This window comes from Homo sapiens, chromosome 7 (genome assembly GCF_000001405.40).
Source record: "Homo sapiens chromosome 7, GRCh38.p14 Primary Assembly".
NCBI lineage: Eukaryota > Metazoa > Chordata > Mammalia > Primates > Hominidae > Homo > Homo sapiens.
In genome coordinates, this window is record NC_000007.14 from 23,487,809 (window position 1) to 23,504,507 (window position 16,699).

Sequence of the window (16,699 nt, forward strand, 5' to 3'; positions counted from 1 at the left end):
CCCATAGTAAATACTCAGTAAATATTTGTCGAATGAATGTATGATACTGTCTAACATTCAGCCTTCCATGCTGCAAGTCGTCAGTACACATCGTTGAGCATACAAATGTTGGAGTTTTTTTGTGCAAATACATTCTCCACCCCACCCCTTAAAAGGCATGTGGTGACCTCGTTTGAAACAACAGCAGCAACAACAAAAACCCAGTTACTTTGGGATTGAGAATATAGACCAATTTTTCAGAACTAAAATATCTTCAAGCTTTATGGTTTCAGTTATCTAAGAGTGATGAAAAGCTTGGTCATAATTCAGTATCAGTACATCCATGTCAGAAACAGCATCATGAACTTTTATTACTTCATATATGGACTACCCTTTAAGAAATAATAGAGGCCTGGCACAGTGGCTCACGCCTGTAATCCCAGCACTTTGGGAGGCCGAGGCGGGTGGAACACCTGAGGTCAGGAGTTCGAGACCAGCCTGGCCAACATGGCAAAACCCTGTCTGTACTAAAAATACAAAACTTAGCCAGGTGTGGTGGTGGGTGCCTGTAATCTCAGCTACTTGGGAGGCAGAGGCAGGGAGAATTCCTTGAACTCAGGAGTCGCAGGTTGCAGTGAGCCAAGATTGTGCCACTGCACTCTGGTCTGGGTGACAGATGGAAGCTCTGTCTCAAAAAAAAAAAAAAAAATAATAATAATAATAATAGCAGAACTTTATTTAAAGGAGATTTTGAGGCTTACTATGGATGATTATTTTCACTTTTGGCAACATATACTGAGTTAAGGCTGGGCGCCGTGCCTCACGCCTATAATCCCAGCACTGTGAGAGACTAAGGCAGGCAAATCACCTGAGGTCAGTAGTTCGAGACCAGCCTGGCCAACACGGTGAAACTCTGTCTCTACTAAAAATACAAAAATTAGCTGGGTGTGGTGGCACAAACCTGCAATCCCAGCTACTTGGGAGGCTGAGACAAGAGAATCCCTTCAACCCAGGAGGCGGAAATTGAGCTGAGATCATGCTATTGCACTGTAGCCTGGGTGACAGAGTGAGACTCCGTCTCAAAAATATATATATATACACACTTATATACCTATAATACGTATATACGTATATACCTATAATACGTATATACGTATACGTATATACGTATTATAGGTATATACGTATATGCATGTATGTGTATTATATGTAATATACGTATATGCATGTATGTGTATTATATGTAATATACGTATATGCATGTATGTGTATTATATGTAATATACGTATATGCATGTATGTGTATTATATGTAATATACGTATATGCATGTATGTGTATTATATGTAATATATGTATATGCATGTATGTGTATTATATGTAATATACGTATATGCATGTATGTGTATTATATGTAATATACGTATATGCATATCATTATGCATATTATTATACATATACATATTATTAACATGAGGTTTTTACGATGTCCTATTTGAAGAGAAGAAATGGCAAAATTGGTCTGCAAAAGAACAATCTGTAATCTAAACTGATTGAACAGTAATTCTCGGGTTGAAAAGTAGAGTTCGGCTGGGTGCCGTGGCTCCTGTAATCCCAGCACTTTGGGAGGCCGAGGCGAGTGGATCACCTGAGGTCAGGAGTTCGAGGCCAGTCTGACCAACATTGCAGAAACCCCCTCTCTACTAAAAATACAAAATTAGCTGGGCATGGTGGTGTGTTCCTGTAATCCCAGCTACTCGGGAGGCTGAGGCAGGAGAATCACTTGAACCCAGGAGGCGGAGGTTGCAGTGAGCTGAGATCACGCCATTGCACTCCAGGCCGGGCAACAAGAACGAAACTCCCTTTTTTTTTTTTTTTTTTTTTTTTTTTTTTTGGAGACGGAGTCTCACTGTGTTGCCCAGGCTGGAGTGCAGTGGCGCGATCTCAGCTCACTGCAAGCTCTGCCTCCTGGGTTCAGGCCATTCTCCTGCCTCAGCCTGCCCAGTAGCTGGGACTACAGGCGCCCGCTACTACGCTCTGCTAATTTTTTTGTATTTTTAGTACAGATGGGGTTTCACTGCGTTAGCCAGGTTGGTCTCAATCTCCCGACCTCATGATCCGCCCGCCTTGGCCTCCCAAAGTGCCGGGATTACAGGCGTGATCTCATTTAATTATTAAATGAAATTCTAGGAAGTTACGGTAAACTTATTTCACCTTCTATTTTAAAAGAGCTATAAAAATATATGTTTTGGTTATTATGGGATACTTTTGTTTGTTTGTTTGTTTTTATATGGGGGCTGGCTGTGTTGCCCAGGCTGGCCTCAAACTCCTGGGCTCAAGCAATCCTTCCACTTCAGCCTCCTGTGTAGCTGGGATTACAGAGACACAACACCACATCAGGCTGGGATCTTTCATTCTTACATTTATTTCATGATGGGTTACATGAAATAGTTAACACTATTCAAAATGTAGTGAATGTCATAAGGTTTCATTGTGTTGTTAGCTAATTAGCTAACAACAACAACAAAAGATTTATATAATCCCTAGATTGTAAAAGTTGTGACTATAGCAGATATATTTTTCTGTAAAGACACGAATGTGCTGCTTCTCCGAGAAAACACCAAATGGCGGATGACGCCAGTGCAGAGGGCGGGGGCGGGCGGGCGCGGGCGGGCGGGCGGGTGGTGTGGGCGCCGGAGGCCCCGGGGGCCCTGGGAAGGGGAACTGATGTGACTTCCGCTGAGGGTTTCAGCAGTGGCATCCGGGTCCGGGGTCACGGCCGTGGATGGGGCCGGGGCCGGGGTCGCGGCCGTGGATGGGGCCGGGGCCAAGACCGCGGAGTTCGCGGAGGCAAGGCCCAGGATAAGGAGCGGATGCCCGTCACCAAGCTGGACGGCCTGGCCAAGGACATGAAGATCAAGTCCCTAGAGGAGATTTATCTCTTCTCGCTGCCCATCAAGGAATCTGAGATCATTGACTTTTTCCTGGGGGCCTCTCTCAAGGACGAGGTTTTGAAGATTATGCCTGTGCGGAAGGAGACCCGCGCCGGCCAGCGCACCAGGTTCAAGGCGTTTGTTGCCATCAGGGACTACAATGGCTACGCTGGTCGGGTTGAAGTGCTCCAAGGAGGTGGCCGCCGCCATCCGCGGGGCCATCATCCTGACCAAGCTCTCCATTGTCACCGTGCGCAGAGGCTACTGGGGGAACAAGATCGGCAAGCTCCACACCGTCCCTTGCAAGGTGACAGGCCGCTGCGGCTCTGTGCTGGTGCCCTTCATCCCCGCGCCCAGGGGCACTGGCATCGTCTCAGCTCCTGTGCCCAAGAAGCTGCTCATGATAGCTGGTATCTACGACTGCTACACCTCAGCCAGGGGCTGCACTGCCACCCTGGGCAACTTCGCCAACGCCACCTTGGATGCTGTCTCTAACATCTACAGCTACCTGATCCCCTGAAGGACTTCTGGAAGGAGACTGTATTCACCAAGTCTCCCTATCAGGAATTCACTGACCACCTCGCCAAGACCCACACCAGAGTCTCCGTGCAGAGGACCCAGGCTCCAGCTGTGACTACAACATAGGGTTTTTATGCAAGAAAAATAAAGTGAATTAAAGCCTATTACTGTCAAAAAAAAAAAAAAAAAAGACATGAATGTACTGGGTATGATTCGAACTGGATTTGTTTCAAGCCTACAAGTCTCTCTCTCTGATAAGTGTCATCAAAAAACACTGGGTGAAATAATGTTTACTTACTTATTTATTCAACACATATTTATACCCCAAAGGGAGTCTTGTGGAGGATAGAGATGGATGTATACTGTGGGTCCTTGCCTGCCCCTTGAGAGGCAGCCTATAAATGCCATTCATGTTATTCTTAAAAGTGTGGAAAAGTACCCAAGCTGCTCTTAGCTTTCTTCTTCCTCCTCCTCCTCCTCCTCCTCCTCCTTCCCCTACTTCCCTCCCTCCCCGGCTCCCTCCCTCCCTCCTTCTCTCCCTGCCTTCCTTCCTTCCTGGCTAATCAAGTGAAGCAGTGGGAGTGGAGAAGGAACGAAGAAATCTATAACTGGTTGTGATCAATTAGTTGTAAACACCACTGCACTCAGACCGGCCCTTAGTTTTCTTTAATGTCTCATTTTAAAGCTTTTGTTTAGGAATGTATCTTTTTTTTTTTTCCTTTTTGAGACAGAGTCTTGCTCTTGTCGCCCAGGCTGGAGTGCAGTGGCACGCTCTCAGCTCACTGCTGCCTCTGCCTCCCGGGTTCAAGCGATTCTCCTGCCTCAGCCTCCAGAGTACTTGGGATTGTAGGCGCCCACCACCAAACTTGGCTAATTTTTGTATCTTTAGTAGAGATGGGGTTTCTCCATGTTGGCCAGGCTGGTCTTGAACTCCTGACCTCAGGTGATCCGCCCACTTCGGCCTCCCAAAATGTTGAGATTACAGGCATCAGCCACCATGCCCAGCCAGGAACACCTTTTAGAATCTGATGGAACCACTTAACTTTCCTTAGAAAAAATACACACAAGGCCGGGGGCGGTGGTTCACACCTGTAATCCCAGCACTTTGGGAGGCTGAGGCGGGTGGATCACTTGAGGTCAGGAGCTTGAGACCAGCCTGGCCAACATGGAGAAACTCCATCTGTACCGAAAATACAAAAATTAGCCAGGTGTGGTGGCGGGCGCCTACAATCCCAGGTACTCTGGAGGCTGAGGCAGGAGAATCGCTTGAACCCGGGAGGCAGAGGTTGCAGTGAGCCGAGATCGCGCCACTGCACTCCAGCCTAGACGACAGAGCGAGACCCTGTCTCAAAAAAGAAAAGAGAGGGAAAAAAAAAACAAAATCACAAATGCAAGCACATCAAGTTCTGAATATATGTTCAAAGGGTAATGATCTCTTAAAGTTTATCCATTACCTCCTAGCCATGGACCCTAGGTTAAAACCCATTTCCTTAAACTAGGTACTCTAAAGAATATCTTATTTTAGAGGGGATACAATCATTAGAAAGTTGGATTAGACAATTTTAAGACATTACTCAACCTAGAGATAGCTACATTACTAAAAAGAAAAAAAAAGCAGAAAGATTGACTACGTCTTTTTAATTTTGTTTTGTTTGTTTTTGAGACAGTCTTGCTCTGTTGCCCATCCTGGAGTGCAGTGATGTGATCTCAGCTCACCTCAACCTCTGCCTCCTGGGTTCAAGCAGTTCTTCTGCCTCAGCCACCTTGAGTAGCTGGGATTACAGGGGCATACCACCACGCCTGGCTAATTTGTTTGTTGTAGAGATGGGTTTCACCATGTTGGCTAGGCTGGTCTCAAACTCCTGACCTCAGGTGTTTCACCTGCCTCGGCCTCCCAGAGTGCTGGGATTTCAGGCATAAACCACCTCACCCAACCCAATAAATAACTTTTAGCAATCTTCCCACACCTTAAAATTAACTCTAATTGCATTTTACTGTGGAAATTGTAGAGCATTTTCTAAATCTCTCTATAGACTAAAGGCCATAGAACGAAAATTGTTTCACTAAAGGCCGTAGAATGAAAATTGTTTCACTAAATAAAATTTTGGTTACGGCCAGGTGCGGTGGCTCACTCCTGTAATCCCAGCACTTTGGGAGTCCGAGGTGGACGGATCACAAGGTTAGGAGTTCAAGACCAGCCTGGCCAATATGGTGAAACCCTGTCTGTACTAAAAATACAACAGTTAGCCGGGCGTAGTGGTGGGCGCCTGTAGTCCCAGCTACTGGGGAGGCTGAGGCAGGAGAATCACTTGAACCTGGGAGGCAGAGATTGCAGTGAGCTGAGATCATGCCACTACACTCCAGCCTGGGTGACAGAGCAAGACTCCATCTCAAAAAATAATAAATAAATAAAAATAAAAATTTGGTTAGCACTTTGTTTTCTCATGACACACATCTGTCATCTAAAAGTACAGTAGGCTGGGTGCAGTGGCTCACACCTATAATCCTAACACTTTGGGAGGCCAAAACGGGAGGATGGCTTGAAACCAGGACCAGTCTGGGCGACATAGAAAGACCCTGTCACTACAAAAAATTGAACAATTAGCTGAGAGTGGTGGCAGCACCTGTAGTCCCAGCAACTCCGAAGGCTGAAGAAGGGGGATGGATTGAGCCCAGGAATTAGAGGCTGCAGTGTTTTGTTTTGTTTTTGTTTTGAGACAGGATCTTGCTCTGTCACCCAGGCTGGAGTGCAATGGCACCATCTCGGCTCACTGCAGCATCCAACTCCTGGGTTCAAGCAATTCTCCCACCTCAGCCTCCCGAGTAGCTGGAATTACAGAGGTGCACCACCATGCCCGGCTAACTTTTGTTATTTTTAGTAGAAACAGGGTTTCACCATGTTGGCCAGGCTGGTCTCAAACTCGTGACCTCAGGTGATCCACCCACCTCGGCCTCCCAGAGTGTTTGCATTACAGGTGTGAGCCACCATGCTCGGCCGAGGCTGCAGTGTTATGATCACACCACTGCATTCCAGCCTGGGCAACAGCGCGAGACCTTGTCTCCCAGTAAATAAATAAAAGTAGAGTAAGCCTTAGTTTACGGAGGGCTTAATTTAGTTAACTTTTACTTAAAATAGAATTTAACATTCTTTTTTTTACACCAATTCAGTCTGTCTTGAAAGTCAATTCATACAATTGACTTAAATATACTCGGTACTAAAGAAGTTCTAAGAATAACTTATATGGAAAGATTTCTGCTTTGTAGCTGTCAAAGTAGATTACAAATTAATGTATCCTTTATTGGACTTGTGCTACAGAAAAAAATGATGTAAACCCTGTGTACATTTAATCAAAACATTACAATATTACTCTCAAAGTGGTGGATTTTTTGTGTTCAAAGGAAGATTTTGTTTAAAAAAAGTCAATTTTATGTGTATTAACTAAACCTCAATAAATCTGATTTTAAAGAGACGCATAGCTGGGTCCGGGGGCTCATGCCTGTGATCTCAGCACTTTGGAAGGCCGAGGCAGATGCATCACTTGAGTCCAGGAGTTTGAAACCAGCCTGGGCAACATGGCGAAACCCTGACTCTACAAAAAATATACGAAAATGAGCTGGGCATGGTGGCACACGTCTATAGTCCCAGCTACTTGGGAGACTGAGGCAGGAGGATCAATTAAGCCTGAGAGGTGGAGGCTGCAGTGAGCAGAGATCCCACCACTGTACTCCAGCCTGGGCAGAGAAAGACACAGTCTCAAAAAAAGAAAAAAGGGAGGGGGATAGCCAGGCACAGTGGCTCACGCCTGTAATCCCAGGATTTTGGGAGGCCGAGGCCGGTGGATCACCTGAGGTCAGGAGTTCAAGACAAGCCTGGCCAACATGATGAAACCCTGTCTCTACAAAAATACAAAAATTAGCTGGGCGTGGTGGTGCGTGCCTATAATCCCAGCTACTCGGGAGGCTGAGGCAGGAGAATTGCTTGAACCCAAGAGGCGGAGGTTGCGGTGAACCAAGATTGCACCACTGCACTCCAGCCTGGGCAACAGAGCAAGACTCTTCTCAAAAAAAAAATGGGAGGGGGATAGAAGAATGGCTAACAAATGATTGTATAATTCCCTACGATTGAAAATGAAATTATCTTTCAAATCATGTTTTAAAAAGAGTTTTAAAAATGGCTGGGTGTGGTGGCTCACGCCTATAATCCCAGCACTTTGGGAGGCTGAGGCTGAAGGATCACCTAAGTTCAGGAGTTCGAGACCAGCCTGGCCAACATGGTGAAACCCCATCTCTACTAAAAATACAAAAATTAGCCGGACGTGGTGGCATGTGCCTGTAATTCCAGCTACTCAGGAGGCTGAGGTGGGAGAATCACTTGAACCTGGAAGGCAGACGTTGCAGTGAGCCGAGATTACACCACTGTACTCCAGCCTGGGCAACAGAGCGAGACTCTGTCTCAAAAAAAGAATTTAAAAAGAAAAACCCCAGATCATGGCTTGTATTTAGTTATCATGTCTTTTCAGTCTCCTTTAATCTGCAATATTCCTGTCTTTAACTTTTATAATATTGAAATTTTTTAAGCTCCCAAGTCAGTTATTTTAGACTGCTTCTCTTTTGGGGGGTATCTGATTTTTTCTGATTATAGCAGTGATTATACTTATTTTTTGTGAAATATCACCAATGTCTTTAGTGCATCAGGAAGCACATGATATCCATTATTCCCATTACTGATGATATTAACTTTAATCACATGGTTTGATATGCCAGGTTTCTCCAGTGTAAAATTACAAAGTTTTTTTGTTTGGTTTTTGTTTTTGTTTTTGTTTTGGAGATGGAGTCTGGCTCTGTCACCCAGGCTGGAGTGCAGTGGCGTGATCTTGGCTTACTGCAACCCATCTCCCAGGTTCAAACAATTCTCCTGCCTCAGCCTCCCGAGTAGCTGGGACTACAGGGGCATGCTGCCATGCCTGGCTAATTTTTAAAAATATTTTTAGTAGAGGCAGGGTTTCATTGTGTTGCCCAGGCTGGTTTCGAACTCCTGAACTCAGGCAATCTGCCTGCCTCAGCCTCCCAAAGTGCTAGGATTACAGGCGTAAGCCACCACGCCTGGCCCAAAGTTTTTTCTTATTTGTAATAGCTTGTGAAGATATATTTTCAGATTATATAAATTCCTTGTTATTCCTTTTTTTTTTTTTTTTTTTTTTTTTGAGACGGAGTCTCACTCTTGCCCAGGTTGTAGTGCAGTGGCACGATCTTGGCTCACTGCAACCTCCGCCTCCCAGGTTCAAGCGATTCTCCTGCCTCAGCCTCCCAAGTAGCTGGGACTATAGGTGTGTGCCACCACACCCGGCTAATTTTTTATTTTTAGTAGAGACGGGGTTTCACCATGTTGGCTAGGCTGGTCTTGAACTCCTCACCTCAGGTGATCCACTGGCCTTGGCCTCCCAAAGTGCTGGGATTACAGGTGTGAGCCACCACGCCTGGCCTATTCCTGAAATTTTTATGTACTAGTTTTAGTACCAATCAGAGTCTTGCCTTATCAACTATTATTATCATGGTTGCCAAATAACATATAGTTTTTTTACATTTATATATTAACCCACCTATAATTTGTATTGTTGTAATATTGTATGAAGCAAGAGTCTAAATCTATTTTCTTCCAAATAGCCATATACCATTCTTTACTGATCTGTCATTTTCCCATAAAAATAAAATGCTACCTTTATCATTTAAGTATGTATGTTTTCTTTCCTTTTTTGAGACAAGGTCTCATTCTGTCAGCTAGGCTGGAGTACAGTGGCACAACCATGGCTCACTGCAGCCTGGATCTCCCAGGCTCAACTTACACCTCATCCTCCTAAGTAGCTAAGACTACAGGTATGCACCACCAAACCCAGGTAATTTTTTATTTTTTGTAGAGATGGGGATCTCAGTATGTTGTCCAGGCTAGTCTTGAACTCCTGGGCTCACGTGATCCTCTTGCGTTAGCCTCCCAAAGTGCTGGGATTACAGGCATGAGCCACCACGCCCAGCCCATGTAAGTTTTCATAGGTACTTGGATCTAGTCTGGACTCTATTCCTGATTGTTTATTCATTTCTAAGTACATTCTTCCATGTGACCTTTGGTACTATTTCATTGAACTCCCCGCCCCCAGCCCCAAATCTTGTAGGGACTACTATAAACTGTTTAATAAGAACTTTCCCCTTCTGTGTGGGAATTTGGCCTTTCATTAAATTTCTAGTTGTTTCTCTGGCACCCTGATAAGGCTAGTATGTCAACTGTGTTACAACATTGCTTGTGGTAAAAATGATTTGACTGGTAAATTGCGTCTTCACTGGGAGAAACTAAAGTATCCAATGGAGACCCTACATCTTAAGTGCAATGACATAAGAGGCATATGTCTCAGGAAGCTTAGAAGCTATGCCTGTGGGTAACAGGTCATAAAACTTTTAAAACCAGGTGTCTTGTGCACTTGCGTGATGTGGATCTCACATCTCAGACCTAAGTTGTATTGCTGCGTGAACTGCTACAAGGATCCCTGTGGAATGCCTGGCACTGCCCTACTTGCTGCATCCTATCCTGTATTTTTCTAAGTGAATATGCCAAATGTGGACTAACGGTTTTCTAAGTCTGAATGTTTAACTTAAGACACCCTGCTGAACATAGCATTCTCACTCTAACTCCGTGAAGTGCACAATAATATACATTTGAAGGTAAGGATTGAAATATTTATAGTACTAGGTTTTCCCATACAGTAATATGAATTCAGGATACATACATAAAAGACAACAAATGTTTTTCATTTTCTTCATTTGAGCTTTGCACTTTAATAACAAATTTAGTAATTTGTTATTAAAAAATAGTATAAACTCTAAATTACCTTAAGAACAACCAAAGCATACAAATCGTACTTTAAAATGTTAAATTTTGGCCAGGCACGGTGGCTCATGCCTGTAATCCCAGCACTTTGGGAGGCCGAGGCGGGCAGATCACGAGGTCAGGAGATCGAGACCACCCTGGCTAACACGGTGAAACCTCGTCTCTACTAAAAATACAAAAAAATTAGCTGGGCTTGGTGGCGGGTGCCTGTAGTCCCAGCTACTTGGGAGGCTGAGGCAGAAGAATGGCATGAACCTGGAAGGCAGAGCTTGCAGTGAGCCAAGATCACGCCACTGCACTCCAGCCGGGGCGACTGAGTGAGACTCCGTCTCCAAAAACAAAAACAAACACAAAAAACAAAAACAAAAAAAGTTTTATTAAAAGTTTGATTACAAATATATGTGTATGCCTTTACAAAGGTTTGAAACTTTGCCTACATTCATTGTTGAAGGAAATGCTACATTTCAGCTGGAAGTTTGTGAAAATAATGTATCAATAGCTTTGTTAGTATTTGAAAATAAATCCAGCTGGGCATGGTGGCTCACATCTGTAATCCCAGCAATTTGGGAAGCTGAGGTGGGTGGATCACGAGGTCAAGAGATCGAGACCATCCTGGCCAATTGGTGAAACCCCATCTCTACTAAAAATACGAAAAAAGTAGCTGGGAGTGGTAGCGCGCGCCTGTAGTCCCGAGCTACTCGGAAGGCTGAGGCAGGAGAATCGCTTGAACCCGGAAGGCAGAGGTTGCAATGAGCTGAGATTGCGCCACTGCACTCCAGCCTGGGCCTGGCGACAGAGTGAGACTCCATCTCAAAAAAAGAATATAAATCCATATCCCTTTTAAGTTTTTAAAAAAGAACATTTTCCATTGTGACTTTTTTTTTCTTTTTCTTTTTTTTTTTTTTTTGGGACAGAGTTTCACTCTTGTTACCCAGGCTGGAGTGCAATGGCGTGATCTCAGCTCACTGCAACCTCCACCTCCCGGGTTCAAGCAATTCTCCTGCCTCAGCCTCCCGAGTAGCTGGGATTACAGGCATCAGCCACCATGCCCAGCTAATTCTGTATTTTTAGTAGAGACGGGGTTTCTCCATGTTGGTCAGGCTGGTCTTGAACTCCAGAGCCCGGGCGATCTGCCTGCCTCGGCCTCCCAAAGTGCTGGGATTACAGGCGTGAGCCACCACGCCCAGCCTATTGTGACATGTTTGCACTTGATATTCTTGTGAATGTCAAATAGAATGGTTAACTTATCTGACATTATCAGGGATCCCAGTGTTCCATATCAATGAATTTTCTTTTTTTATTTGGAGACAGAGTCTTGCTGTGTTGCCTAGGCTGGAGTGCAGTGGCATGATCTCGGCTTACTGCAACTTCCGCCTCCCAGGTTCAAGCCATTCTCCTGCCTCAGCCTCCCAAGTAGTTGGGACCACAGGCGCATGCTACCACACCCGGCTAATTTTTTGTATTTTTAGTAGAGACGGGGTTTCATCGTGTTAGCCAGAATGGTCTCGATTTCCTGACCTCGTGATCCGCCTGCCTTGGCCTCTCAAAGAGTTGGGATTACAGGCGTGAGCCACCGCACCCCACCATAAATGAATTTTTAAGGCAACTTAAGCACCAACACTTTAATGATAATTAAACTGCCATTTTTCTTCCCTCATTACACAGATTACTAAAAGTGATTTTTAACCTTTGTTAGGGTTGTCACGATTATTTTCAGCCTAGATCCCTTCTGTCACACTGCCCTTACACTTTAGCTCTTTAAATTACTCCTCTATCCTCATTCATCTATGCAAATATTTACTGGACATCTACTCCATGCCAGGCACCATTCTGTGCAGCAGTCACAAAGCAAGGAAGTTACCTCATTGGTTACTTAATCATTTTACAACTTTCAAATTGCAGAGTACACCAGGAACAGTTATGTAGCAACAAACTACATATATGTGGATTTTTTTTTTTGATATACATACTTGAAACTATACCCATTAAACACTAACTCCCCATTTCCTCTCTCTGTATATACTTTGAATTTTTCCTAATGATTGCAGCCATACTCCGTAACAGTCTAAAACTAGTACCTCAATTACCCATGTATCCATTCTCTCACCTCTGACGGGTGAATAGGATAGTCATTTTAAAATAATTTTGTGTTGTAAATAATTGAGTATATAAGCTTATTTTCCTTTGTATAACTCCATCTTTTTTTTTTTTTTTGAGACAGAGCCTGGCTCCATCACCCAGGCTGGAGTGTAGTGGCACCATCTTGGCTCACTGCAACCTCCACCTCCTGGGTTCAAGCAATTCTCCTGTCTCAGCCTCCCAAGTAGCTGGGACTACAGGCGCCTGCCACCATGCCTGGCTAATTTTTGTATTTTTAGTAGAGACGGGATTTCACCTTGTTGGTCAGGTTGGTCTCGAACTCCTGACCCCAGGTCCACCAGCCTCGGCCTCCCAAAGTGCTGGGATTACAGACATGAGCCACTGCGCCTGGTAACTCCCATCTTTTTTTAAAAAATAAAAAAAGGCCTCCCCCACATTTATTTATTTATTTCAGATAGAGTCTTGCTCTATTGCCCAGGCTAGAATGCAGTGGCATGATCTCAGCTCACTGCAACCTCTGCCTCCTGAGTTCAGGTGATTCTCCTGCCTCAGCCTCCTGAGTAGTTGGGATCACAGGCATCCCCAACCATGACCAGCTAATTTTTGTATTTTTAGTAGAGACGGGGTCTCGCCATGTTGGCCAGGCTGGTCTTGAACTCCTGACCTCAGGTGATCTGCCAACCTTGACATCCCAAAGCGCTGGGATTACAGGCATGAGCCACTGTGCCCAGCCTTGTTTTCTATATTCATTACTCCTATGGATGTTACACTTCTTTTTTTTTTTTTCCAATTATTGAGCAGCTTCCCTAGCCAGAGTATGCTCAAAGACTCCTCCCCTGATCTTTTAATGTCAATAAGTATCTGAATTGTTTCATAGAATAAAAATATGCACTAGTTTTGACCATTTGATTCATTTAATTTTAACTTAATTGGGAGGGAAAAAGAAAATTCATACTAAAAACCCAAAGCATTAAGTGTGACATCAGGGATAGGAATACATTAAAATGCTGGGCTTTTAATTGCCACAGCAAAGCAATATGTATTTGTGTGTAATAGTTCAAGTTGCTGTGCAATTCAAACTGTTCTCGGTGGCTCATGCCTGTAATCCCAGCACTTTGGGGGGCCAAGGTGGGTGGATCACCTGAGGTCAGAAGTTCGAGACCAGTCTGGCCAACATGGTGAAACCCCATCTCTACTAAAAACACAAAAATTAGCTGGGTGTGGTGGCACATGCCTGTGATTCCAGCTACGGGAGGCTGAGGCAGGAGAATCACTTGAACCCGGGAGATGAAAGTCGCAGTGAGCCAAGATCGTGCCACTGCACTCCAGCCTGGGCAACCCATAGCGCAAGACTCCGTCTCAAAAAAGAAAAAAAAAGTTCTAACATTGATAAGCAATGACAGCCTAAACAAGCAAGGGCCAGGCTTGGTGGCACACAGATCTACTCTTGAGGGCAAAGCAATAGGGTTGCTTGAGTGCAGGAGTCCTATGATCATGTGAGTAGACACTGAACTCCAGCATAGGCAACATAGTGCCCAGCATAAAACTGTTTTATTGGTTTTATGAATGTTCATCTTACCTCCTCTCTCCACAGATTACCACTCCACAGGGTAACTACTATGAGGAGATTGGTGTATATTCTTTTTTTTTTTGAGACGGAGTCCCCGTCTGTTGTGCAGGCTGAAGTGCAGTGGTGCCATCTTGGCTCACCGCAACCTCCGCCTCCTGGGTTCAAGTGATTCTCCTGCCTCACCCTTCTGAGTAGCTGGGATTACAGGTGCCCACCACCATGCCTAATTTTTTTTTTTTTTTTTTTTTTTTTAGTAGGGATGGGGTTTCACCATGTTGGTCAGGCTGGTCTCAAAATCCTGACCTCAGGTGGATCCACCTGCCTTCGGCCTCCCAAAAGTGCTGAGATTACAGGCGTGAGCCACCACGCCCAGGCTGGTGTATATTCTTTTTTTTTTTTTTCTTGAGACTGAGTCTTGCTCTGTCACCCAGGCTGGAGTGCAGTGGCGTGATCTCGGCTCACTGCAAGCTCCGCCTCCCGGGTTCATGCCATTCTCCTGCCTCAGCCTCCCGAGTAGCTGGGACTACAGGCACCCGCCACCACGCCCAGCTAATTTTTTGTATTTTTTAGTAGAGACGGGGTTTCACCATGTTAGCCAGGATGGTCTCGATCTTCTGACCTCGTGATCCACCTGCCTCAGCCTCCCAAAGTGCTGGGATTATAGGCGTGAGCCCGGCCCCTGGTGTATATTCTTATAGATCTTATTCTATGCACAAGATTATAATTTAAAAGCCAAATACTCTGCTGGACGTGGTGGCTCACACCTGTAATCCCAACACTTTTCGAGGCTGAGGGAGGTCAATTTGTTTGAGCCCAGGAGTTTGAGACCAGCCAGGGCAACATGGCAAAGCCTCTTCTCTACAAAAAAGTACAAAAATTAGCCAGGCATGAAGGCGTGCGCCTGTAGTCCCAGCTACTTGAGAGGCTGAAGTGGGAGAATTGCTTGAGTCTGGCAGTCGAGGCTGCAGTGAGCTGTGATCCCACCACTGCACTCCAGCCTGGGTGACAGAGTGAGACCCTGTCTCAACACAAAAACACCAGAACGTTTCACACAAGTGTTTCTGGGAAGACAGACTGCAGGTTTTTCAGATTTTTTTTTTAGGGCTCCAGGACCTAAATAAGATTAAGTGGGAACCACCGTTGTAAGAAGTTAGAGAACCAACAGCAGCAGTTTTTCTTACCCGCCAGTTGAAAACACTTATATCTTTGAGATGGAGTTTTGCTCTTGTTGCCCAGGCTGGAGTGCAATGGCATCATCTCAGCTCATTGCAACCTATGCTTCCCAGGCTTAAGAGATTCTCCTGCCTCAGCCTCCCAAGTAGCTGGAATTAAAGGTGTCCACCACCATGCCCAGCTAATTTTTTTTGTATTTTTATTAGAGATGGGGTTTCACCATGTTGGCAAGGCTGGTCTTGAACTCCTGACCTCAGGTGATCCACTCACCTCAGCCTCCCAGAGTGCTGGGATTACAGGTGTGAGCCACAGTGCCCGGCCACATTTAGATCTTAATAGTAAACAGAAAAAGTGGAGGTCCAGAAATATCTAAGCTTTTATTTCTATTTTGAGTAGTTATGCTCAAAATAACTTTCTGTCTCAGCATCCCTAGTTGTGACTACAGGTGCACACTACTGAGCTCAGCTCCCTAGTCACAAAATATACTTAAAAAGGACAGGACTTTCAAACAGTAAATTTTTTTTTTTTTTTTGAGATGGAGTCTTGCTTTGTTGCCCAGGCTGGAGTACAGTGGTGCTCTCTGCAACCTCTGCCTCCCAGGTTCAAGTGATTCTCCTGCCTCAGCCTCCTGAGTAGGTGGGACTACTGGAACCCACCACCATGCCTGGCTAATTATTTTGTATTTTTAGTAGAGACGGGGTTTCACCGTGTTAGCCAGGATGGTCTCAATCTCCTGACCTCGTGATCCGCCCGCCTCAGCCTCCCAAAGTGCTGGGATTACAGGTGTGAGAGCCACTACGCCCAGCTGCCCAACACCTTTTTTTAAAGGTCACTTGAAACACCCTCTTCTTCTTTTACATTACAGTTATTTAAGTGTGTTTCCTACTGGAATATATTTAGACTTCTTAAGATATTATCTACCTATAGGCCGGTCGCAGTGGCTCACGCCTGTAATCCCAGCAATTTGGGAGGCTGAGGCGGGCATATCACGAGGTCAGGAGATCGAGACCATCCTGGCTAACATGGTGAAAACCCTCTACTAAAAATACAAAAAATTACCCGGGCGTGGTGGTGGGTGCCTGTAGTCCCAGCTACTTGGGAGGCTGAGGCAGGAGAATGGCGTCAACCAGAGAGGTGGAGCTTGCAGTGAACTGAGATCACGCCACTGCACTCCAGCCTGGGCAACAGAGCGAGACTCTGTCTCCAAAAAAAAAAAAAAAAAAAAAAAGTAGGCCGGGTGCAGTGGCTCACGTCTGTAATCCCAGCACTCTGGGAGGCCAAGGCATGTGGATCACAAGGTCAGGAGATCGAGACCATCCTGGCTAACACCGTGAAACCCCGTCTCTACTAAATACACAAAAAATTAGCCGGGCGTGGTGGTGGGCGCCTGTAGTCCCAGCTACTCGGGAAGCTGAGGCAGGAGAATGGCGTGAACCCGGGAGGCGGAGCTTGCAGTGAGCCGAGATCGCGCCACTGCACTCCAGCCTGGGTGACAGAGCAAGACTCCGTCTCAAAAAAAAAAAGGTATTAGCTACCTATCTTTCCTTCA

At 45.3% G+C, this 16,699-nt stretch overlaps 1 pseudogene across 1 annotated transcript, besides 3 other annotated features; it reads left to right on the plus strand.

The window, feature by feature from the left end:
- Positions 2,580 to 3,620, plus strand: RPS2P32 (ribosomal protein S2 pseudogene 32; annotated as a pseudogene). The gene has a single exon (NR_026676.1). The product of NR_026676.1 is annotated as a ribosomal protein S2 pseudogene 32 (transcript).
- Positions 2,585 to 2,844: a silencer, noted in NCBI's record as "silent region_18013". NCBI's record gives its function as "represses an Ori minimal core promoter by ATAC-STARR-seq in GM12878 lymphoblastoid cells {active_cell/tissue: GM12878}" and the evidence as "EXISTENCE:reporter gene assay evidence [ECO:0000049][PMID:35858748]".
- Positions 3,345 to 3,414: an enhancer, noted in NCBI's record as "active region_25730". NCBI's record gives its function as "activates an Ori minimal core promoter by ATAC-STARR-seq in GM12878 lymphoblastoid cells {active_cell/tissue: GM12878}" and the evidence as "EXISTENCE:reporter gene assay evidence [ECO:0000049][PMID:35858748]".
- Positions 3,425 to 3,474: an enhancer, noted in NCBI's record as "active region_25731". NCBI's record gives its function as "activates an Ori minimal core promoter by ATAC-STARR-seq in GM12878 lymphoblastoid cells {active_cell/tissue: GM12878}" and the evidence as "EXISTENCE:reporter gene assay evidence [ECO:0000049][PMID:35858748]".
- Positions 3,621 to 16,699: the final 13,079 nt, after the last annotated feature.